The sequence below is a fragment of the Homo sapiens genome, chromosome 20 (assembly GCF_000001405.40).
Source record: "Homo sapiens chromosome 20, GRCh38.p14 Primary Assembly".
NCBI lineage: Eukaryota > Metazoa > Chordata > Mammalia > Primates > Hominidae > Homo > Homo sapiens.
This window is the reverse complement of record NC_000020.11, coordinates 31,818,270-31,841,419: the sequence shown is the minus strand read 5'-3', so window position 1 is coordinate 31,841,419 and position 23,150 is coordinate 31,818,270. Positions and strand designations below refer to the sequence as shown.

Here is a 23,150-nt window from a genome sequence, read left to right as displayed (position 1 = left end):
GCTCTGAAAGACCATTAGGAAGCTTCACCTGCTGGGCCTCGGCCTTTGTTCTCCCAAGAGAGGAAAGGACTCCTGGCCCCTGGGAAGGCCACCCTCACCCACCCACAGGGCTGGCCTTAGCCAGCCCCTCCTCCCCGATGCTTTATCTCCAGCCTGCTCCCTGCCCACCCCCTTCCTTCCCTGGTTTATGGCATTCCATGGCCCAGAGTTAGGCACTCCTGCCCACACCCCAAACAGTGCCTTGGCCGAGGGGAAGGAGACCCTCTCCCTTGGAGGGCAGGGCCCTGCAAGGCTGCCACAGTGATGAGAAAAAGCCGGGAGGTTGTATCGGCCAGCCTGGCATGCCGCCTGCTGGGAGAGTATGCAATCCAGGAATCCAGGCCTCAGCCAAAACATCCCTTCCACACCCAGACTTCCATCCACCCATGGACCAGGCGCCACGTCCTAACTGTGTGACCTTGGGCAAGTTGCTTCCCCTTTCTGGGTTCCCCCCATCTGTAAAATGTGGACCCTAACAGTACCTACCCCCATGATGTTATTGTGAGGATTACATGAGTTAATACTGGCAAAGTGCTTAGAACAGGGTCTGGCACATGGCAGCTACAATATCAGTATTTGTTGGCCGGGTGCGGCGGCTCACACCTGTAATCCCAGCACTTTGGGAGGCCAAGGCAGGAGGATCACTTGAGGTCATGAGTTTAACACAAGCCTGGCCAATAGGGTAAAACCCTGTCTCTACAAAAAATACAAAAATTAGCCGGGTGTGGTGGCACATGCCTGTAGTCTCAGCTACTCGAGAGGCTGAGGCAGGAGGATCGCTTGAACCTGGGAGGCAGAGGTTGCTGTGAGTTGAGATCATGCCACTGCACTCCAGCCTGAGTGACAGAGTGAGACTCTGTCTCAAAAAAAAAAATAAAATAAAATAAGTGTTTGTTAAGTACAATAAATAGGTATTTGGGTACTGGACATGTCTCCCTTAACCTGATTTATGCCCCAGAAGAGTGTCTAGCTGCTGTGGAGGCAGGAGGACAGGATTTAGGGGGAGGAAGGACTGTTACACAGACAAGGCTTTTGACTCAGTTCCTGGCATCTTCACTTCCTTGCTGTGTGACCTTGAGCAAGTGGATTCACCTCTCTGAGTCTCAGTTTCCTCATCTGTAAAATGGGAGCAATGATTCCAGTCCCCAGGACTGGTATGTGGAAAGCCTTGTCCTGCACACTACCTGTACAATTCAGTCAACAGGAATGAAATTAGAATTAATAAAACAACTCCGTTGGAGGACCTCATGCCCTCAGCGTAGTCCTCTCCATCTCTCCCTTCACACAGGGCAAAACCCACATCTTCACAGGTCCAGAGGTGCCTAATCTCTTGTTCCCACACTTCTGGTACTAGGTGGTGACTCAGGGAGGCAGCTGGTGGGGCAGAAGGAAACGGTTCCATGGCTAAAAACAGGCCACTGTCAGCCAGAAGCCAGCCTGGTGTCCCGGGAAAGGCCAGGGCTGCCTCCTCTTGACCACAGCCCTCAGGGCCAGTTTTGAGGTTGCCCTGAGCATACAAACAAGAGAGGGCTGACCCTCCCACTCCCTTAGGACACTTGCCTCCCCGTGAGTTTCTTTTCCATCTCTAGGCCTTTGCAGCAGCTGTTCCCTTCGCCCCCACTGGCTGCCTCTCTACATCCACCACCTACATCACATCACCTTCTCTGAGAAGTCTTCCTGCACTTCCTTATCTAATTGGATGCCCCCAGATTATTCTCCCTCTGCATCCCATTTATGTTGCTGACATAGCATCTGCTGCAATGTAGAATCACGCATGTGCACATGTACTCATGTTTTATTGTGTCTCTGCCTTAGAATGTAAACTTCAGGGGCCAAGGGTTGGGTCTGCCTTATGCGTTTTGTCATCTTCCCTAACTCGATGACTAGCACATAGTAGTCCCTCCATGAAGGTTTAGGAGTGGATGGATGGAGTCATGGTCACCATTCATTCATTTGCCATGAATTAAATCTCAAGGCTGGGCACGGTGGCTCACGCCTATAATCCCAGCACTTTGGGAGGCCAAGGCTGGTGGATTACCTGAGGTCAGGAGTTCGAGACCAGCCTGGCCAACATAGTGAAACCCCGTCTCTACTAAAAACACAAAAAATTAGCTGGGCATGGTGACGGGCGCCTGTAATCCCAGCTACTCGGGAGGCTGAAGCAGGAGAACCGCTTGAACCCAGGAGGCAGAGTTGCAGTGAGCTGAGATTACGCCACTGCACTCCAGCCTGGGCGATGGAGCAAGACTATGTCTCAAAAAAAAAAAAAAATTCTCAAAGACCTCCCCAACAAGGCTCCCTGTTTCGTTAATAGGCAAGGGCCACTGTGGTCTGGCCCCAGCTCCTCCTTCCTTCCCCCTCACTCACTCCAAGCAGCCTGTACACTGGCTCTGCCTTATCTTCCGTGAATGTCCACAGGCTTCACTCCCTCATATCCTCCAGTTTCTGTTCAAATATCCTCAGAAAAGCCCTGCCTGGCCACCACATTCCCCATTTCCCCCACCACTAACACATTCTAAATTCATTATTGCCATTCAGTGTGTCTCCCCCACTGGCATGAAGCTTCACCAGGCCAGGAATTTTTGTCTATTCATTGCTTGTCTCCAGCACCTAGGGCAGTGTCTGGAACATAGCCAGGGCCGGAGAAATAGTTGTGAAAAAAACATAAGCTCAGTAGCCTGTACCAGGCTCCACCTACAAATCCCATGTAACTTTCTCATTATCCTGGGAAGCAGGTACGATTCTTACCCCATTTTACAGACAGGAAACTGAGGCTCAGGGAGGGCAAATAAGTAGGTACGAACCCTGTTCTGTCTGACCTGGAACCCAATCTCTCTGTCATCAGCCTATCTGTCTAGAGGCATCTCCCCCATCTCCTCCCCACAGCTAACAGCCTCTCAAGCAGACATGGCTCAGCCTCCACCGGGTGTCCCTGCCTCCAGCCTCTCTCTCCCATTCACTGACCTCCCTGGCTGCAGGGATCCTTTGTAAGCATGGATCTCTGACCTCCCTTCCACAGCTCCCCATTGTCCCATGTCAGCCTGCCATTCGGGCTCCTGCTAACTTCTCCAGACCTATTTCCTGCTTCGTCTCATGCAAAAGCCCTACTGGCCTGCTCCAAGATGAGCTTATACTCAGCTGCAAGTCTCTGGACAGCAAGCAGTCCCCTCTGCCTGGAACACCCTCCTCACTCTCTGTCTGGAAAAGCCCTGCTCCTTGTGTGCCCTCAGCTTGGATGTGACTCCCACTGAAGAGAAGAGAATAGGGGTTAGTGTCTCCTTCCTGTTCTCATGGTTTCATGAGATTCCTTCCAGCTTCACCCTGATCCCCATCCTCCCACTGGGGTTCCAGAGGCTGTGAGCTCCCCAAGGGCAAGGGCCATGACTCATTCATCCCCAGGCTCTCGCTGGGGGCCAGGCCCAGAGCTGGGCTCAACAAATGGTTGTGAAGTGGTTGCTGTGTGGGAAGTCAGATGGCCTGCCTCACATCCTGATTCCCCTATTCATCAGCTGGGAGCCCATGGACTTGTCCATACACTCCTTGTGCCTCAGTTTCCTCATCTGTGAAATGTTGATAATGAAAATACCTACTCATAGGGTGGGGACAAAATAAGTTAATTGATGGGAATCACTTGGTATAGTGCCTGGTGGCCAATAAATATTACCCATTAACATGAAGGAAGAAACAGATGCGTAGGCAGCTTCATAGGTAGGAGATGGTCCAGGTGGGCACATCCTTCAGGACAGCCCTGGCTCCTCCATGCCCTCGGCGCAGCCCTATCACTGGCTGAATCTTTACCTACCACTGTCTTATTGGGTCCAAGGTGGCCAGTGGAATACAAGGCCACTGGACCCAGAAAGGGAAAGGCAGTGTCACCAGCCCTGATGTAATCCAAACCAGATGTGGGCTTAGTGGCTTCCAGACCTGTGGGGGGTGGTCACTGTGGGCCTGGCTAAGGCCTTGAGGCAGGAAATGGTCTTGGAGGAAAGCTCTCTGGGCTGGGACCAACTGGGAGGAGCACTCCCATTGACAGTGTTAATTAACCCTTCTTAGCTTACAAAGAGGGCCCAGGACCCCGTTCAGGGGAAGCCCAGGCACAGAGGTGCCTTGCAGGGGAAGAACACAGCATCAGCGTTGAGATGGACACTGAGCAGGAGGGGCCCATGGCCCTGGTGCCTGTGGTGGGCACAGCAAACCATGCAAGGGACAGGGAAGCTCAGCCTGACACCCAGAGAACTGATGCCCTGGGAACCCTTGCTCAGTCCTGGTCCAGCTTGGCAGTCCCAAACCAGCTATGGTCTCCCGCCCTCCATCAGGGCAGCTCCTAGCGTGAAAAATCTTTCTTTCTTGTAGCTGCCAGGGATGGGAGCATTCTTGAAAGCAATGGGGCTGGGGCCTAAGCCTGCAGAGAGGCAGACCCAGCTGTCCACAGGGGCAGTGGCTGCAGCTTTGCCCTGAGTGTGCTCCGTGGCCCTCAGTGGGAACAAGGTCTCTCTGAACCCACATTCCCCCTTCCACATTATTGAATCTATACTCTCTGCCTCTGGGGACAAGGGGAGGCCCAGAGGAAGCACCTGATGAACCATAAAGAGCTTTCTAAGGTGTGCTCCTGGGAAGGGGTGGGGCTGGGTTCTGAATGGGCTTCTTGCACAGGACATGTTAATTTGCTGTGTAGCCTTGGCCAAGTCACTTTCCCTCTCTGAACCTGTTTTTTCACCTGTAAAATATGGTGCATGAGCACCCCATCCCGTCTCTCAACTGTCACAATGGCCCTAGGAGTGGCAGAGGAGAAAAGAGCCGAGGTTATCAACTTCATATTACAGAGGGGGAAACTGAGGCATGCACTGGGAGTCAGGAGTCCTGGGTTCTAGTTCCAGCTGTTACTGTCTCTGATGAGGGACCTTCCCCATCTTGGCCTCGGTTTCCCCAGCTGGATCCAGGCCCTGGATCTCTGCTGTGGCTGGACTTCATTTCCTTCCCTCCCCCCACGGTGGTGACTCATCCCTCATCAACATGCTGTGTGGCCGAGGCTCAGCCTGGGTGGGGGCCAGCGAGGCCAAGAAAACCACTCAGAGGAAACCACAGGCCTGGCCCAGCTGGCAGGTGGCGGACGGGCAGGCAGGCAGGAATCCACAGCCCTAGGGGCCCTGCCTATAAGCGCACCTCCCGCCAAGAGCCCAAGCCAGGTTCCCCAGGACCCCCAAGCCCCAGACTGTGAGTCAGGCTCAGACTTCAGAGTCACCCATTCACCACCCCAAGTGATACTGCTGCAACCGGACTCTGAACTCCCCAGCTCAAGCAGGGCGGGGATCGCAGTGAGGACCAGTGTTCATGGAGGCAGGAGAGAGGGGATGAACTGTCAAGGTTTCTGTCCGAGGGCAAGCCTAAGGTTTCTCAGGAGGCAGGCAGTGGTGAAGAGCAGGGGCTCTGGGCCCAGACCATCTGGGTACAAATCCTGGCTCTGCCACTGACTATGTGGCCCTGAGCAAGTGGCTGAACCTCTCTGAGGCTTGGCTCCACACTCTGAGAAATGGACACAACACCTCGCAGAGTCACCGTGTGCAGCCGATGTGACCATCAACACAATGCGGCGCCCAGGGCCAGCAGCCGGCAGGTGCTCGATGCATGTTAACTGCTGTCTCTGCTCTTCCTGCTGGAACCTCTCTGTTCCCACAGGCCAGTCCCACTTCTCAGTCGTCCTCACAGCCAGAAAGGCTGCACTGTATCAGGGCTCAGCTCTCTTGCCCTCTGGGCTGCCCCCAGATGGAGCCTCCCCTGCCCCTCACTGCTGGCTTGTGGTGAGGTGGCCGTGGCCACTGGGAAAAATCAGAGAACAGTCCTCTCCCCTGAGGCCCTCATTGTAGACCCAGCAAAGGCATCGCAGGCCTGCCAGACCTGGCCTCCACCTGGAGACCGGACTCTCTGCTTACACCCTGTCCTGGTGAGAGGCAGAGGGAACGCATGGGCACATCCTTGCTCTGGGAGACAGAAAAGCTCCTTTCAAGCCCCAGTCCCTGACTTGTTGAGTGGCATTCAAGTTCCTTCTCTCCTCTGAGCCTCAGTTTCTTCATATGTGGAGTAAGGATAAGAACATTATCGTTCCCTGGGCCGAGCACAGCCCTAAGTGCCTTACCTCAGTCTGACTGATGCTGCAGCCATGGCCCCACCCTATGAGGTAGATCCTAGCGCTGCCCACTCTCTCTGGCTCAGTTTCTCCCTCTGTAAAACAGGAATAATAATACCTGCCTCATGAGAATCACCTGAAGCCGGGAGGCGGAGGTTGCGTGCAGTGAGCATAGATCACACCACTGTACTCCAGCCTGGACGACAGAGTGAGACTCCATCATAAATCAATCAATCAACCAATCAATCCTGCCTCGTAACTTTGCTGTGAGGAGTAAATGAGTTAACACAGCACAGGCGCTTTAAGTAAAGCTGGGCACGCAGTAATCACACACCCGGTGTAGGCTGTTGCTGCGACCTCCCTCTCACAGGTGAGGATACTGAGGCACAACGTGCAGAAGCCACCTGCCCACATCATGTGCTGGGCAGACTGGCACCTGAGCCTGCATGAACCACCAAACTGTGAGCTGACGGATATTGCTAAAGTGTCCGGTACACAGTAGGTGCTCAGTGAACTGTGGTCATCAGCGACCTCACACCAGTGCAGGCACACACAGAGGGAAGGAGGCCACATCCAACCTGTACATTTATTTACAAGGCACAAGCTGAGAGCAGACTGGAGGCTGCCCCATGGCCTTCCTAATTCTCCTGGGCCTGCTGACCCCATCATCTGAGGCCATGGGTGACCCCCAAGATGGGGGCCCCGAGTGGTTGGGTTGGGCCGGCTTGGCCCTGAGGCAAGCTCGGGGGTGGTCTCCTGTGTCCCTTGGCTTCTCCCCTCCCCCTCCACCAGGCCTGGGCTGGGCGCCCTCTCTCTCACACAGAGTTCCTGTGTGTTGGTGGTCGCAAGGAAGGTGGGTGGGGGCCAGCCTGGGCCAGATGGTGTGGGCTCGGCCTTATCTGCTGGAGTGGGGAGGTGGCGGGGGCATGGAGGTCCTCTCTCACAAAGCCTGCTCTGTCTTCCCTGGCAGCTGGGCCTTAGGAATCAGCGTTGCAGCCTTTCTGCCCCACCAGGAGCCTCCCATCCACAACCACAGAAGCCCTACATGCTGAGACCCCCCAGCCATGGCACTCCAGCTAGGAGGAGGCCCAGGCTAAGGACTCTCCCAGTGGGGCAAAGCAGGGGTCACCACGGCGGCGGCAGTTCAAAGACGAGGAGCTGGGGAGGGAACCGGGAGCGGCTTCAACGGGGGCCTGGAGTCTGGGGTGTGGCCGACAGGCTGGAGCCCTGTCTGGGGAGGTGCTAGCAGGATGGATCCAGGCCACACTCCGAGGCGGCTCACATCGGGGAAGCGGTCACTGCATGGGGGCGTGGGGAGCCCCGAGCCTCCCAGCCTGGCACAGCCTTGTCCTAACGAGGCTGCCCTGGGGATCTGGCTGCCTTTTCTGGCCTTCTGGGCTGTGTGGCTTCAGCCCCGGCCACTGTGTGGCTGCGTCCAGGCTTCAGCTGCGCCCAGGGCTCAGACCCCCAGAGCCATCAGTGCCCCCGAGCTGCTGATCTTCTTGAAGCGGTTGGCAGCGCTGACAGCAATGAAGTTTTTCTAGAGGGCAGAAGAGAGGGAGTCCCAGTCAACACCAGGGCAGGGGGGCAGCTGCAGGGTGTCTGAGCAGCCTGTAAGTCCCCTTCAGTCCAGGAGGGTCACAGGCTAGAGAAGGTGCAGTGCCCAAAATGGCCACGGGAGGCGCCATGACACTGTATTGTCCAGGAGTCCCCTCACTCAACGGATAGGTCAGCCAGACCTGAACCAAGGACCGCTCTGCTCCAAACACTCCCATGGCTCCAGTTTTGCTCCAAGTAAAAGATAAACCCCTTGCCATGGCCGATGAGTCCCTCCAACTCCTGTCCCCCTCTTCCTCTCTAACTTCATTCCTTACCTCCTTGCTCACTCCACTCCATCCATACTGGCCTCCTACCTGTTCCTCAAACTCTCCAACCACACCTCTGCCTCAGGGCCTTTGCACTGGCTACTCCCTCTGCCCGGAATACTCTTCTCCCAGTATTGGCACGGCTCACCCCTCCCCACCTTCAGGTCTTTGTTCACATGCTTCTCAGTGAGCCCTTCCTGACCCCCCCTATTTAGAAGTGCAGGCTGGGCACAGTGGCTCACACCTGTAATCCCAACACTTCGAGAGGCCAAGGCGGGAGGATTGCTTGCCTGAGCAACATGGCGAGACCTCATCTCCACAAAAATATTTTTAAAATATTAACTGGATGTGGTGGCATATGTCTGTGGTCCCAGCTATTCAGGAGGCCAAAGGAGAGGATCACTTGAGCCCAGAAGGTCAAGACTACAGTGAGCCATGATAGCGCCACTGCACTCCAGCTGGGGAGGCAGAGTGAGACCCTGTCTCTAAAAAAAATAAAAATAAAAGTGCAACCTCTCCCCGGCAGAAGGCCCTTATTTTTTTTCTAAAGTCTTCTTTAACCCTGCCTATTTCCACAGGGCTCTAGAAAATGCCCCACCTCAGCCAGGCACAGTGGCTCACGCCTGTAATCCCAGCACTTTGGGAGGCGGAGGCAGGTGGATCACGAGGTCAGGAGTTCAAGACCAGCCTGGCCAACATGGTGAAACCCCGTCTCCACTAAAAATACAAAAATTAGCCAGGTGTGATGGTGGGTGCCTGTAATCCCAGCTACTTGGAAGGCTGAGGCAGGAGAATTGCTTGAACCTGGGAGGCAGAGGTTGCAGTGGGCCGAGATCACGCCATTGTACCCCAGCCTGGGTGACAGAGCAAGACTGTATTGAAAGAAAGAAAAAAAGATAGAAAATGCCCCATCTCTCACCAAAAGTAACTCCACAAAGACTGAGATCTTTGTCTCTTTTGTCCACTCCTATATCCCAATGCCTAGAAGTAGTAGATGCTCAAGAAATATTTGAAAAATGAAGGAGGGAAGCCAGAGCCCCAGATGGGTGGGGCTGGGTGGAAGGCCGGGTAGAGGTCTCCACTCTAGGACAGGAGCCAGCCCAGGGCAAAAACAGAAAAGTCAACCCTGTCTTCCGGACAGGGCCCAGCCTGGTCAACAGAACCTGCCAAGGCAGGGACGGTGGAGGCTGGGATCTGGCACCAGGAGCTCTTCCCACTAGCAAGCCCTCCCTCCCCACCCTGAATCCAGCGGTACCTTCCAGCGCCTCTTCATGAGGTATTTCTTAAGCAAGATCTGGGACTTAAGGCGTCGGTTACAGCGTTTGGCTTTCTCCGCCAGGTTGTTGAGCCAGGGATGGGCGAGACACTGGGCAGCGTTCATCCGGGCCCTGGGGGAGAGGCAGCATGGTGACGGTGGGCTGCATGCTCGTGAGGCCCCAGGGGCTCAGCTGGCCTCTCTACCTGGCTCCCGCCCTGCCAGCACTCAGACACACTAAGCTTGCACACATACAGTTCAGGTTCTGGGGTGAGCCTCACCTCTGGTCCTTGACGATGAGGTTGGAGACAAAGTCTTTGGCCTCGTCTGATACGGCCTCAAAGGTCTCTTCATCAAAGTACCAGTTGCCAGATAGAACGTTGTTTAGGGTCTCTGTGTCATCATCTCCCAGGAAGGGGGAGAGGCCGCTCAGCCTAGAGGGAGGGGATAGCAGGGGGCAGGGAGGTGAGATTGGAGGTGCTGAGTCACCTTCAGAGGGGTAGGGAACAGGGGCAGATCCTAGGAGGCAGCACCGTGTGCTGAAAAGACCCCCAGCCTCTCGTGGGACAGACCTGGGTTTGAATCTGGCTGGGTGACTTTGGGTAAGTCATCTCCCCTCTCTGAGCCTCACTCTTCTCATCTGTAAAATGGGCATAATCATCCCAGCTTCCTAGGTGGCAGTGATGAGGAATGACGAGTGCAAGGTATGTGGTGAGCACATAGGAAATGTCCACTGCCCCTCTGCCCGCCCCAGGTCATCCGAGATCTGCTGTCCAGATGCTATGCCTTTATAGGGACCTTGGTTTTTCCATCTATGAAATGGGTACCACGTTCCCCTTTCCTGTTCTCCCTAGCACTCCCAACCCCAGCAAACCCCTGACTGAGGGATAGGGGAGGTGGGACCACCTTACCAAGACCCTAGGGCCAATCTTGGCCTCGGCCGCTCGCCCCCATGCCCCACCAACCCCATAAACACGACCCGCCTGGGAGCTCACAGCATGTAGGTGATCACCCCCATACTCCACATGTCTGTCTTATCGGAGATTTGGTCATAATTCACCACCTCAGGTGACAGGAACTCTGGGGTCCCAAAGTTCACCTTCAGCTTCTCGTTGGGGTTATACCTGGGGGTGAGACCAAGGGCTGAGAGCACAGCTCCTGGCCTATACCCATGCCCCCTCCACCCCACCCCTGTCCCCTGCCAACTCAGAGGCTTGTCTTGCCCTCCCCACCCACCCAGGTGGTACCTCCGTGCCAGGCCAAAGTCAATGATCTTCACCAAATGCCCGGTGGTGTTGACACACAGGATGTTCTCTGGCTGAGGAGAAAGGGGGTGGCCTGGGTGGGCCTCTGACCAGCTCACCCTCCCTCTCCCACCAGGCCCGTGCAAACCCCAGGCTCCTTGAGGCAGAGGCCCAAGCTGCCAGAGTGGGCAGCTGCCAGAGACCCTCCAGCCCTGCCTGCTCTGGGCACAGAGAGATCTTGAGGCAAGTCCCCCACGAGGGGCTTATGCGAGGCCTTGAAGCACAGGACCTGCCGTGATGGGTTCAGGTGAGATTTCCCTCCATCTAAGGCCATGAAAGAACACGACATTCTAGCAGTTCTGAGGATGGGGAAACAGAAGCCTGTGGAGAGGAGGCATGACAGCCTGCTATCCCCGCCCCCAGGCTGGGGGGCCAGTGCAGGACCACCACCAGATACATGAAGCTCCAGAGAACAGAGAAAGAAGATGCCAGCTCAGTTCCTGACAGGAAGCCTCTTGGGAACACGGGGCTTCACACTACTCCAGGGTCACTGGAAGATGCGCTACTCTTGTCTCCCCAGTTAGTGAGGATGATGAGCTACAAAACATCAGGCCCAGTCCACTCACTTTCTCACTTTAGCTCCCCAGTCCTTCCCAAAGATCTAGGAGGCACACACTGTTATCTTGAGATGAAACTGTGACATTGAGATACTATTACCATCCATTCCCATTTGGCAGCTGAGAAAGCTGAGGCTCAGACACAGAAGTGACTCGGCCACAGTTGCCCAGCAAGTAAGCGACGGAGCCAGGAAATGAACGCATGACTGACTCCAGCACTGGCCTTGTGATGTTCCGCTACCACCACTGATCCTGCACTCTGGGGTGAATATAACACTACAGGGTTGGCTCTTCCAGGCCAGGGATTGTCTTCTCCTGGCCTCCTGGGTCCCACCCTCAGGGTCTAACAAAGGCACCCAGTAGGGGCTCAGCCAAGTTAACACATGGATGACGTTACTGTAAGCCCAGTTCCTCTCCACTCTGGGCCTCTGTTTCCTCTTCCTATCACACAAGGACACAGGACTAATCTGAGGTTGCAGGGTATAAACATTTTTAAGTTAACAATGGTTCAAAGGCAGGAGATTCTGCACAAAAACCCTGAATTCCAGCAGCTCCTGAAACACCGGAAGCCCTGGCCACATGGGCCATATGCCTTGGAACAAGTTGCCACTAACAGCCTGAGATGAGACAAATGTCCTCCAACTCTCCCATGGTCGCCACCACCCCCTGATCCCTCCCATTCAACATGTATTTGTTATTTGTCTGGGCTCTGTGGGCATTTGACTCAAGTCCCCTAAGGAGACGCTTTCTGAAGGCACTCTTAAAACTGATAGATTCACTCAGAGCAGATACTAATGATTTTAATAGTTTGGCCTGGTGTCCCACAAAACAGGAAAGAAAAGAAGGGTCCCAGGGTACAAGCATTTGGGGAAATGAAGCAGACTCAAATTTCCTTTCAGAGATTCTCCATCTACACACAGGAGGCCCTCAGAAGCCCTGCAGCCAAGAGACCCAGGACATGGCCTGTGGGCTGGGGTGCACTCAACCTACTTGACCGTGAAACACTTTTTTTGACAAAAAACGTATTATTATCCTGAAAAAAACACATTTTAGGATACAGAGGCTCACGACTGAGCTTCTTCCCAGAGCACTGCATTTTAATTGGGGGACCCTATTCTGCCCCAAAGAAATTAGCCTTCACTAGGGAAAGGCAGTCTTCCAATGTCATCATGCAGGCACCAACTGCCCCCAGCTCAGTGAAGGGGCCACCATCTGTCCAGTAACTCAGGACTCACCCTTGATCCTTTCTTTTCCTAACCCTCACACATGCAAACCCTCAGCACATCAGATTGGCTCTATTTCCAAAATGTATCCTCCATCTGGCCCCTTTCCCTCCCCTCTCCCACTGCCACTCTGGCTCAAGCCCCTGGCATCTCTCTCCTGGCTTACTTACTCCATCAGCCTCTAAATTCCCTGCATCCACTCTGGCCCCACTGAAACCCACCTCCTCACCCTGTTTGTGTCCTCCTCTGTCAGTGGCAGTGATATTAACACACCTAACCCAGGGGACTGTTGGGAAGATGGCACCCTCACTCAGACAGTGTCGGGCACAGAGCAAAACTGGGACAGGTGTTAGAGGCGGCAACAGCATCTCCCTGCCTGCTTCAGACCCGTGCTGACTTCAATTTCACCCAGTGCGATTCCGCATTACTCTCGTGTATTTTCTCAAACACTTTTCATGGCTTAAAATGACCTATTTAGTTAGGAATTGTTTTATGAATGTCTGTTTCCCCTGGAGGCTCCATGAGACAGGGACCATTTCCTTCACAGTCCCTATGCCTAGCACGGGGCCTTCCAGGAGCAGGTACCCAGCACGTGCTTATCGAATGAATTAAGGAAAGTACCCAGCATATGCTTATGGAATGAATGAATGAAAGTACCATCCACTTTGCTGATGGGTGCTCACGCGCCTCCACATTAAGATTCCATGTCCCGCCACTTAACGCACAGCATTAACACCTGCCATGAGGACTGCCAACCCCCTGCACTCCTGCTGCCCTTCCCTGCTCCACACCCAGAGCTCCACACTCAGCTCCGGACAGCTACGGACAACTGACTGGAGTTGCTGCAATGTATACACCTATCTGTGGCCAGGCACGGTGGCTCACACATGTAATCCCAGCACTTTGGGAGGCTGAGGCAGGCAGATCACCTGAGGTCAGGAGTTCAAGACCAGCCTGACCAGCATGGCGAAACCCCGTCTCCACTAAAAATACAAAAATTAGCCGGGCATGGTGGCACACGCCTGTAATCCCAGCTACTCGGGAGGCTGAGGCAAAAGAATTGCTTGAGCCCAGGAGACAGAGGTTGCAGTAAGCCAAGATCACACCACTGCACTCCAGCCTGGCCAACAGACCAAGACTTTCTGTCTCAAAAAAAAAAAAAAAAAAAAAGCAGATCTGCTCTTCCTGACCTACCATGTGCATGGTAGTGAGCAAGGTCAGAAGAGGGATATCAGGCCGGGAACAGTGGCTCATGTCTGTAATCCCAGCACTTTGGGAGGCCGAGGTGGGCGGATCACTTGAGGTCTGGAGTTCAAGATCAGCCTGGCCAACATGGTGAAACCCTGTCTCTACTAAAACTGCAAAAATTAGCTGGGTGTGGTGGCAGGTGTCTGTAATCCCAGCTACTCGGGAGGCTGAGGCAGGAGAATCGCTTGAACCCAGGAGGCGGAGGTTGCAGTGAGCCAAGATAGCGCCACTGCACTCCAGCCTGGGCAACAGAGTGAGACTCTATCTCAAAAAAAAGAAGAAGGATATCAATATTCTTTCACGAAACATTGTTGTTAGCGCCTACCTCATGCACATTGCCACGCTGACACTATACTTATTTGAGAGCTCCAAGAATGCAGGGATTTTTATCTGTTTGGTTCACCACAGGATCTCCACCACCTAGAGCATTGCCTGGCATAAAGTAGGCCCTCAAGAAATATTTGTTGCTTTTGAATAAATGATCAGACACTCCTAGTACCTATCATGGGCCAAGGCTGAGGCAGGTGCTATTGCAACACTTATTAGCCACTTGTCTGTGTGACACACTGAGCTTGGGGCTCACAGGACTGCAAAAGGCCCTTTCAACAAATACTTAGTACTAGACTAGAAGTTCCATGAAAGCTGGTACCACGTCTTTTTTTTTTCCCCCCCTCTCTCTCTTTGCTGTGCCCCCGGCTCCTGGCACTTGGTAAGTATTCCATAAACCCTTTCTGAATCTATGAAGGGAAGGATGGATGAAGGAAGAGATGGAGGGATGGGAGGGCAGAGGGATGGCTGGTGACAGCACTGATCTCAGGGGGTCGGAGGCTGCCCCTGACCCTTCCCAGGAGGCCCCAGTCTGGTACCTTGAGGTCCAGGTGCAAAACCCTCATCTTGTGCATGAAGAGGATCCCGTCACAGATCTGCCTGACAAACACCATGGTGTCCACCTCGGTCAGATGGTAGTCCTCATCCACAATCCTCTCGAAGAGCTCTCCGCCCTCGATGCTGTGTGCACAGACCCCTCCACGGCTTGCTCCGTGCCTGGTGGTACCCCCACCCAGCCCCTACCACTACTTCGGGCACTCACTACTCCATGAACAGGACGATCTCATGCGGAGTCTCGATGGCTGCATACAGCTGGATCAGATTGCGGTGGTTCAGCTGGTTCATGACCTCAATCTCCAGCAACACCATTTCCTGGGGACCAGGGAAGTCAAGGGTACCAGCTGGGCACCATCACTCCCTGCCACCCACCCTCCATACCCGCACCCTTGAACAGGCCTGCTAGCCTTGCCCAGATCACTGCTCAGCCTCCTCCTTGCCTCTCCTCTCTCCCCCACCCCCACATCTGTGGTCCTCACCACTCCCAAGTCATGCCTGCTGGGACATCTTCCTTTTGCCGGCTCTTCTCCTGAGTACTGACATGCCAAGATCTCCATCCTCCCCCCTCACCGCTTCCCTCTCTCTGCTCTCTCCCTGGGCATCTGCATAAAGTCTCATGACTTTACATTTTATCCAAAGTCATCAATTTCCAAATATACATCTCAACCTCTGAGCACTCCATTGAATTCTAGACTCCAATATCTCCAACTGTCTACTTGCCTTAGTTGTCTAATAGACATCTCAAATCTATCATGTCCAAAATTAGACCTTAGACATCGTCCCTTCCCCACAATTGAGTTGCTCTCGGCTTGCCTGGCAGCAAAAGTACCCCCACGCTTCACCCAAGGGTGCAGGACAAAAAGTTACGAGCCATCCTAAGTTCTTCCCTTACTCTCGCGCCCTCACACCCCACCTCCGACCCAACTCTTCAGCATCATCTACCTTCAAGCTAGATTATACATCCAATCATTCGCACCTCCTCCACCACTGCCTTCCTAGTTTAAGACACCATTATTTGTCACTTTCAGAAAGTCGCAAGCCAGCTGTCACATCGGTAGGCTGATATATCGGCTATAATAGGAATACTTACACCATGAGAAATGGCAAATGCTGTAAATCGGGCCTCTCTCCACACCTGCCCTACCCAGATCCAGTGGTTAAACACTAACCCTTGTTTCACTGCCAGGATGGCTCCCCTTCTGCCTTTACCCACCCCTTCATTCAGTTCTCACCTCACATATGTCTTTCTCAGAGAGGACTGATCTCACCTCCCTATCTAAAAGCGCCCCCATCAGCCCTGTACCCCCTCTACCTTACCTGGCTTTATTTTCCCTCCTAGCACTTCTCAGTACCTGATGCCAGGCCTTCTTTTCTTCTCTTTTCTTTTCTTTTTTCTTTTTGCTTTATGTTTTAGTTGTCTCTCCCTCCACTGTAGCATGTCAGCCCATGAGGGCAGGGGTGTTTTTAGGTCACTGACATTTCCCCAGCCCCTGACCCACTGAATGGCAGAGAAGTGCTCAATAATTATCAACTGAAAACTGGCCCCAGTTAATTGAGCCGCAGGTAGGTACTGAACATCTATGCTGAGCCAGAGCCTGTGACAGAGGCCTGGGACCTAGGAGACAATAACACGGACCCAGGCCCTGTAAGTGGAAGAGACGAAAAAGGACGTTGTCACATAGAAAATGCACTCCTTCCAGTGTGCTTAGAGCCATAATGGGGACCCAGGGCTGCAGCGGCTAGAGCTGCTTCTCACGCTTTCACTGGGGTCGGGCCTGTGCCCACACTGTGGCTTCTGCCTGGGATGCCCAGAACCTCACTCCCCAGCACCTCCTGCTATCTCTGGCCCTCGAGCCTTTCCTCCCATAGTCCCCTCTGCCTGAAACTCTGCCCCTGCCTTCTCCACTGGAACGTCTCCTCAAAGCCCTCGCTCAAAAGGCAGCTGGTCCAGGAAGCTTCCCTGACCCCTCGGCCTGAGTCAGAAGCTCTCTTGAACCCCAAAATGCTACCCCGCAGTTTCCCTGAGTCACAGCTGTGGTCACACGAGGTTGCTATTACCTCCTCACACAGCAGACTCCCTCACTCTACCTGCCTGCATCCTTTCATTCCTTCAACAAACACTGCTCGTGGCCTCCTCTGAACCCAGCCCAGGCCGTGGGTACTAGAGGCAAAGCTCTAGGCCAGGCTTGTTTACCTTGGCTTCAGCTCCCTGAGGGTGGAGACCACACCCACTTCACTCCCAGACCCCCAGTGCCCAGCACAGGGCCTGGCCCAGAGCCCACACTCATCAGTGTTTGTTGAATTGAACCAGAGGGCATGAATATCCCATGCCTAAAAGGGAAGTCCCCAGATAAGTTCACTAACTGAAGTATCTGGTTATGGGTAGGGTCCTCAGGCCCCTGCTGCAGGGCTGTCCATCCATCTCTCTATCTGTGTAGTATTTTCACTGCAACAAACTCCCATACCAGGCCCCAGGTTCAGCAGCGCTGGTGGAGGGAGGCGAGAGGTGCCCACTCCAAGGATCCCCTCCCCATCCTGGGCAGCCACCACCCCCGCAACCTCACTACCTTGTCTTTGGGAGTCTGTTTCTTGATGACCTTGGCTGCCAGCTTGAGGCCTGTGGCTTTCTCCATGCAGGTACAGACTGCCCCAAACTTGCCACTGGAAAGAGAAGAGGCTGTAAGTGAGGGGACCCCAGAGCCCACCGGGGTCAGTGGCATCCTTTGCTCTGATCCTAACTTGGTCCCAGACCCAGTGGTGCCTCTGGATCCCCTTTGGTGAGATGGGAGCACTCACCCCAGCCAGCCCTGACTCCCTCCTGAAGCTGTGAGCTGTTCTGCCAGGACAATGGCTGAAGCAGGTTCTTTGAACCACACAGACCACGTGCACAGGAAGAGCAGGCGTGTAGGGAGGATGGCCCTGGGATGCGACCCTTAGAGGTTTAGGGCAGGCAGGCCCTGGGCCCTGGGGGAGGGCACCTTCAGGCAGAGGGAGGATCTGCAGAGGTATAAGACTGAGTCAGGGCTTTTTACAAAGCAGGAATCACCATGAGGGGGTCAGTGTGGTGCCTGGAGCTGAGACAGACAGAAAAATGCTGTGTATTTCCTACGGAAGCACTGAATGGCTGACGGTGCGTCTGAGTAAGTGACAGCAACACTGAGTGCACATCAGCATGTGACAGCTGCACACAGTGTGTGTCCCACACAGAGGTGAACATGTCCATGTGGCCATGTCTCAGCGGGGTGTGTGTCTGGGCCTTGCACAGGGGAAATGTGAAGCCACAGGAGCCCGGTGTACTCTCTGTCCATGAGTGCCCAGCTGGGGTCCCAGATCTCACCCTCCGAGCGCCTCCTTGGAGTTCATACTGAATTCACTGCTGACATTCCCGGTCCTCAGCTCCACCATGCGGTGAGGGAAGGGGGCCGGAGGTGGCGGGCAATCATCTGGGGGACAGAGCACAGCCCTCATGGTCAGTGCCAGGGGCTGCTGAGGATTCCCCTTGGCACCACCCCTCCTGCTGGCCTGGGCCCCATCTAGGGAAGTTAAGTTCACCAAGTGATACCTGGGGGACACCTGGCTCCAGGATAGGGGCTATGGGGCCCAGTTTCCAATATCAGTTCTGCCACCAACACAACACTCCTATCAGGGAGGACCAGCTTCTCCTGGCAGAACAAACGGGATGGGAGCTTGGACTTTTTGGACCCTCTGCATTATAAGACACAAGGACTCCATCCCAAGCTATCTGCATTTCCACCAAAAACAATCAAACACAGCAGCTATAAAGCGGAATGCCAGGCAGTGGGGTTGCTATGTCTGAATAATGGGGTAGGTGGTGGGACCTGCCCACCCTCCATCCTAATAACACCGCAATCTGGCCAGACCACCCATGGCGGGGCGGGACCGGGGACCGTGCTGTTTGGTGGGGAGAGGGCGCCACCTAGCGGCAAGTGTGGGGAACCGCTCGCCCTGAAGGCTGGCAGGCCGGCAGGCGGTCATCAGGAATGGAAACCTCTTTATAAATAGCAAGAGGCGGCAGGGAAGCCGGGCTGGTGATAAATCAAACGGCCTTTGGAGGTGGTTCAGATCCTGTCACTCTAGGATGCGATTTCGGGGCGGGGCGGAGGTCTCTGCGGCTGCTAGGGGCGGAGGCAGGGCTCCTGGCTGCCGCCCAGCCGCCAGGTCCTCCCACCCTGTCTGGGTGGCACGGTGCCGCTCACCAGGCAGGCTGGCGGGTCTCCCAGGGCACTTCAGCCTGGAGGCAGGGGGGTGTCAGGACACTCTGGGTTCTCCTGACCCCATCTCACCCCACCCCCAGCCCTGCCGCACCCCTGCCCAGGCCCTTTCCCTATTCACCTGCTGGCCAAGCTCACTCACACTCAGTGCTCTCTGCAGCCCATGAACAAGCCACGGGCTGCTTGTCTAATCATCAATGAAGGCCACTCCACAGTCCTGCCCCATTGCACATGCCCAGCTTCCTTGGTCACTGCTCCCACACACAGGCACCTGTGCTCCTCAGCGCATGAGCCCTCTATAGCTCCCACGACCCCACCCCACTATACAGTTTAGCTACTAAGCCTGGCATTTGAGCCCTTCTACAGATTGACTCCAAATTCCATTGCCCAGGGAGTTTGTGTTGCTCCAATAATCTGCCTGATTTTTCTTTTTTTTAACTTCATTTTAGTCAAAGTAGAAAAAACTCAAAAGTGGGTTCTGGAGTCTGGGTGGCCTGACAGGTTCAAATCCTGTCTTCACTGGATATGTTTGGGCACTTCATTTTCCTTTTTCTGAGCCTTCCTTTCCCCATCTATCAAAAGGGAATACTAAATTTAAAAATAAAAATACATCTTAAAAAATAAGATTGAAGAAAGCCAGGTATGGTTGTACACGCCTGTAGTCCCAGCTACTCGGGAGGCCAAGGTGGGAGGATCACTTGAGGCTGGGAGTTTGAAGCCAGCCTGGGCAACGTAGCAAGACCCTATCTTTTAAAACAAATAAACAAATGAATAAACATACGTTAAAAAAGGAATACTTTCTGGAGTTGTGTGACCCTTAGATGAATGGGCCTGGGTAAGGCTTGGCTCAGGGCAGTTCAGACCTCCGAATAGGTAGACTTGGGACTGACAGCCCCCTTCCCTCCCCCTGGCCCCAGGGCAGCCCCAGCCCCCACCTGCCCCTGGCCTACCCAAAATCTGGAAGCAGTCCTCCTCCCTGGCTGTGAGACAGAGGGCCTGCCCCACCTCGGATTTCTCTGAGGGAACAGCCTGGAACTCAATCCCCCTCGAGGTGTCCCCTTGCATCTTAGCCTGGCCAGCCTGGCCTGGGGTTTTCTCTCCCACTTCCTTCTGGCTCTCTGCCAGGATGTTCTTTCCTTCTTCTGCCTTGGCTGGCCTGGGATCCGTGGGGCTGTGGGTCATGGGCACCCCTTCAAAGGTGAGCTCTGATGCCTCGCTTGGGGGCTTCTTGGCCAGCAGCTTCTCAGAACTAGAAGGTGAGAACACAGAGGTGAAGCCCTCAGCGGCCACAGCCTGTGGCATCAGGCAAGTCTCAATGCAATCTGCAGAGCTAATCCAACCCCACCCCAAATGCATGGTGTAATACAGCCAAATTCACCTGGTACAAAATTAAGGGATGTTCATGGCTGTGGTCATTATCTTGACTACCAACACACTAATACATCATTAATAACTATTAATAGGATTGTTGATATGGTTAATCATCATGTGGATACAACTAGGGAGTTATGTAGCTCTTGATTCATAAAATCTGTTGTGATATAATTGATACATAATTATCAAAGTGATATGGTAAATGTTCTTATTGTGGCTTACAATATATCATTAATGACCTCATTAGCATTCAGGTAAGTATAACTGATGGCATCACACATGTGCTATATTATGGTTATGAAAATATTATCAATGATCCTCCAATCTGGTTATTAGTCATCTTTTCATATCTTACCAATAATTATATTAAGAAGAACAGGAAAATACTGGATGTCCTAGGAAATACACAGCCTTTTGCCTGACACCTTTAGCCTTTCTGCCTGCCATCTCAACCCTGCCCTTGGCTAGACCCAAGCCCATGGAGTAAGGGGAACTTCGGACCCCAGAAGCCTAGAGAAGATATGTTCAACCTAGGCAGTCTTTGAGGGTCTCTCTTACTCCAGTCTTGTATGAATTGTGGCAGGGTTCTGGTTTCTGCAGGGGACAAGGCGGTAGAGGCAATTCACAGGACAGAGGAAACTGAATGTCAGAACTACACTCCCCAGCACTGAATGTGATGATAACCATGCCTAAGACAAGGGAATTAAGCAGGACCCCTAGGGACAGAACCACAGGACCCCTCCCCACTCCCAGGAGGGGATATTCACCTGGAGATGATGGCAGGACAGCTGGGGCTATGCAGAAAGGCAGGTGAGCCCCTCCTGGCTGCTGCTTGGCCCTCTGCTGCCTTCTTGCCCACCCTGGGCTTTCCAGGATCCTGGCTGCCTGAGGCTCCCTGCTCAGCCTTGGGCTTCTTGACGCTGGTCTCAGGTGTCGCAGTCTGCTGGGGCAGGGCTGCCGGGGGCCCAGCACTGCCCTCCGCGGGCCCCCCGCCCCTGTCACCCTCTCCTTTGGGGCCTTGGCTGCTAGTTGAGGGTTGGGCCAGGGTACCATCCCCTTTCTCTGAGGCAGGGGCTTTGGCATCTTTCTTCAGGGTGGGTGGATCCGGAGCTTTCTTTGGGTCTGGGGGGCCAGGGTCTTTCCCTGCAGCCAGGGGTCTTTCACCTGTGGGACCTTTAGGTGCCTTGTCTGCAGAGGAGGTGAGACACCCATCAGGATCCACCCTCCTTTCCTTCCCTCTCACCCAGGCTGGGCAGAGACCAGCTCTGGGCCCAGGTTCCCACCCAGGCAACAACTTGCAAATGCTTGTCCCACTGAGTCTCTGGGGCCACTTGATGGCCCCTAGAGATGAGCTGCCACGACCTTGGAGGGCCTCTGTGGGAGGCTTCCAGCCCTTTGGGTGGGCCTTGGTGGCCCCCATCATCCTTGCCCTGACTGTTTAGGTGCATCCCCAGCAGCCATCCCTGGTGGCTTCACATTTTCCTGGTCTCTCCAGGAAGGGCTTCATACAGGCCCTGGACCCAGCCCAACCCTAGCCAGAGATTCCTCTGATTTCTGGGTCCCCCGTGCACCATGCAAACAAGGCTGGGGCACAGAACTCCCACTGAGGAACCTGCCCAGTCCTGGATTCAAAACCCCCCTTCCCAAGCTCCTCCCTCCATCTCCTGCCCCAGCTTGGCACCTGTTGATGGGTTCTGAATTCCCAGCTCAACTGCTCCATTTTCTGTCGCCATGAGGTAGGGAGGCGTGTGCTGCTGCTTGTCTAACTCAAGTCTTTCTAGCTGCAGAAACAAGAGTGGAGTGTGTCAGGCTGTCCAATTTCCCCTCTCGTCTGGCTGCAGTGAGACAGGAAGCCGAGGCCTGCTAACTGAGGGGAGAGAGGTACCTGGAGCAAAGAGGGGCAACCTGGTTGCCGTCTGTCTCCCAGCGGCTGCTCAGGAGCAGTCCTGGGCAGTTGTAAGGGATTGGGCCGGGTGGGCAGAGGCGGAGGCAGGGGTGTGGGCAGTGGAGGCGGGGACGGAGGAGAGGATCTCTTACACCAGGGGCCATGCAGCTGGGACTGCCGCCACCTGTCACTCTTGGCCCCAGTTCAGAGGACACGGCATTCTTCCCATGGCCCGACTGGGGGGAGAATGATGTTGGAACAAGCGAGAAAAGGGAGGGGTATCTGGGACGCTGGGGGAGCAGCCCTTTCCCCAGGCCTTGCTCAGTATCCCTGACTTGGACAGGATCAGAGGGGGCCTGGAAGAAGGGGAGTACTCAGGCAGGCCTGAAGGGCAAGAGTATGCCCAGGCTGAGCCCTGGTCTGCCCACCTGTGTGCCACATCTCCTGGGGCTCCCCAGAACCTGGCTAGAGCCACAAAGTCCCAGGGATAATCTCCCTGACCCTAGTGCCTAGCTCTGTGCCTCGACATCTGGACCTGCTTGCGTCACCTTTGGGTAAGAAATTGTCTCGGGGGCACTTTCTCAACATGTCCATAGGCCTGGAAGCTTTTTCTTTTGAAACTGTCCTTTTCTTGGGCTCCTGGGGACACGGAGGCTGCCCTGAGTAGCCATGGGAGATGGAGAGTGCTCTGTGCCCCTCCCCCAAGCTCATCCAGTTCTCACCCATGACCCACATGGAAGAAGGGGGCTGGCAGAGAGTCTTTTCAAGGATGCTCCACTACAGGGGTGGCCCGAGGGGCACTCTAGCCTGAGGTGTTCGAGATAGGATGAGGACAGCTATGATCCAAGGAGCCTTCCATCACCCAGAGCCTTTCTCAGAGGGGGCTCTTGAGAACTGGCCAGACCTGGGTGCATTAGAAGTAGCTGTAGAGGCCAGAAGCAGTGGTTCACACCTGTAATCCCAACACTTTGGGAAGCTGAGGCAGGAGGATCACTCGAGGCCAGGAGTTGGAGACTGGCCTGGGCAACATAACAAGACCCCGTCTTTATATTTTAAAAAGTAAGATAAAATGAAGTAGCTGTAGAGTGGTTATCCAGGTTCAGGTCCTGACTGCAGCAAACCAGTCACTTCACTCCATGGCCTCGGCTCCTCTGTCAAA

The 23,150-nt window shown here is 54.4% G+C and overlaps 1 protein-coding gene across 1 annotated transcript, besides 9 other annotated features; it reads right to left on the bottom strand.

Moving 5' to 3' along the window:
• Positions 3,531-4,378: an enhancer, noted in NCBI's record as "H3K27ac-H3K4me1 hESC enhancer chr20:30424845-30425692 (GRCh37/hg19 assembly coordinates)". NCBI's record gives its function as "activates a minimal SCP1, AML or CMV promoter by ChIP-STARR-seq in naive H9 embryonic stem cells {active_cell/tissue: H9 hESC(naive)}" and the evidence as "EXISTENCE:reporter gene assay evidence [ECO:0000049][PMID:30033119]".
• On the bottom strand, positions 6,736-22,064 carry MYLK2 (myosin light chain kinase 2). The gene is made up of 13 exons (NM_033118.4): positions 21,992-22,064; positions 21,788-21,887; positions 20,874-21,294; positions 19,683-19,981; positions 17,838-17,943; positions 17,068-17,161; positions 14,706-14,815; positions 14,482-14,623; positions 10,531-10,601; positions 10,279-10,407; positions 9,565-9,717; positions 9,284-9,416; positions 6,736-7,703 (listed from the first exon to the last, which is right to left on the bottom strand). The coding sequence occupies exons 2-13, from the start codon at positions 21,837-21,839 to the stop codon at positions 7,623-7,625; spliced, it is 1,791 nt and encodes a 596-aa protein (NP_149109.1). The 5' UTR covers positions 21,840-21,887; positions 21,992-22,064; the 3' UTR covers positions 6,736-7,622.
• Positions 6,744-7,374: an enhancer, noted in NCBI's record as "H3K27ac-H3K4me1 hESC enhancer chr20:30421849-30422479 (GRCh37/hg19 assembly coordinates)". NCBI's record gives its function as "activates a minimal SCP1, AML or CMV promoter by ChIP-STARR-seq in primed H9 embryonic stem cells {active_cell/tissue: H9 hESC(primed)}" and the evidence as "EXISTENCE:reporter gene assay evidence [ECO:0000049][PMID:30033119]".
• Positions 14,234-14,734: an enhancer, noted in NCBI's record as "H3K4me1 hESC enhancer chr20:30414489-30414989 (GRCh37/hg19 assembly coordinates)". NCBI's record gives its function as "activates a minimal SCP1, AML or CMV promoter by ChIP-STARR-seq in primed H9 embryonic stem cells {active_cell/tissue: H9 hESC(primed)}" and the evidence as "EXISTENCE:reporter gene assay evidence [ECO:0000049][PMID:30033119]".
• Positions 16,427-16,927: an enhancer, noted in NCBI's record as "H3K27ac hESC enhancer chr20:30412296-30412796 (GRCh37/hg19 assembly coordinates)". NCBI's record gives its function as "activates a minimal SCP1, AML or CMV promoter by ChIP-STARR-seq in primed H9 embryonic stem cells {active_cell/tissue: H9 hESC(primed)}" and the evidence as "EXISTENCE:reporter gene assay evidence [ECO:0000049][PMID:30033119]".
• Positions 17,128-17,654: an enhancer, noted in NCBI's record as "H3K4me1 hESC enhancer chr20:30411569-30412095 (GRCh37/hg19 assembly coordinates)". NCBI's record gives its function as "activates a minimal SCP1, AML or CMV promoter by ChIP-STARR-seq in naive H9 embryonic stem cells {active_cell/tissue: H9 hESC(naive)}" and the evidence as "EXISTENCE:reporter gene assay evidence [ECO:0000049][PMID:30033119]".
• Positions 17,655-18,182: an enhancer, noted in NCBI's record as "H3K4me1 hESC enhancer chr20:30411041-30411568 (GRCh37/hg19 assembly coordinates)". NCBI's record gives its function as "activates a minimal SCP1, AML or CMV promoter by ChIP-STARR-seq in naive H9 embryonic stem cells {active_cell/tissue: H9 hESC(naive)}" and the evidence as "EXISTENCE:reporter gene assay evidence [ECO:0000049][PMID:30033119]".
• Positions 18,300-18,349: a silencer, noted in NCBI's record as "silent region_12765". NCBI's record gives its function as "represses an Ori minimal core promoter by ATAC-STARR-seq in GM12878 lymphoblastoid cells {active_cell/tissue: GM12878}" and the evidence as "EXISTENCE:reporter gene assay evidence [ECO:0000049][PMID:35858748]".
• Positions 18,650-18,709: an enhancer, noted in NCBI's record as "active region_17700". NCBI's record gives its function as "activates an Ori minimal core promoter by ATAC-STARR-seq in GM12878 lymphoblastoid cells {active_cell/tissue: GM12878}" and the evidence as "EXISTENCE:reporter gene assay evidence [ECO:0000049][PMID:35858748]".
• Positions 21,039-21,580: an enhancer, noted in NCBI's record as "H3K4me1 hESC enhancer chr20:30407643-30408184 (GRCh37/hg19 assembly coordinates)". NCBI's record gives its function as "activates a minimal SCP1, AML or CMV promoter by ChIP-STARR-seq in primed H9 embryonic stem cells {active_cell/tissue: H9 hESC(primed)}" and the evidence as "EXISTENCE:reporter gene assay evidence [ECO:0000049][PMID:30033119]".

Coding starts and splice junctions, on each gene's coding strand:
- MYLK2 (NM_033118.4), bottom strand. CDS start 21,839: ATGGCGACAGAAAATGGAGCAGTTGAGCTGGGAATTCAGAACCCATCA. Junction 14,624..14,705: donor ATCGTCCTGTTCATGGAGTA/GTGAGTGCCCGA, acceptor CTGTGCACACAG/CATCGAGGGCGGAGAGCTCT. Junction 10,602..14,481: donor TTTTGCACCTGGACCTCAAG/GTACCAGACTGG, acceptor CTTTCTCCTCAG/CCAGAGAACATCCTGTGTGT.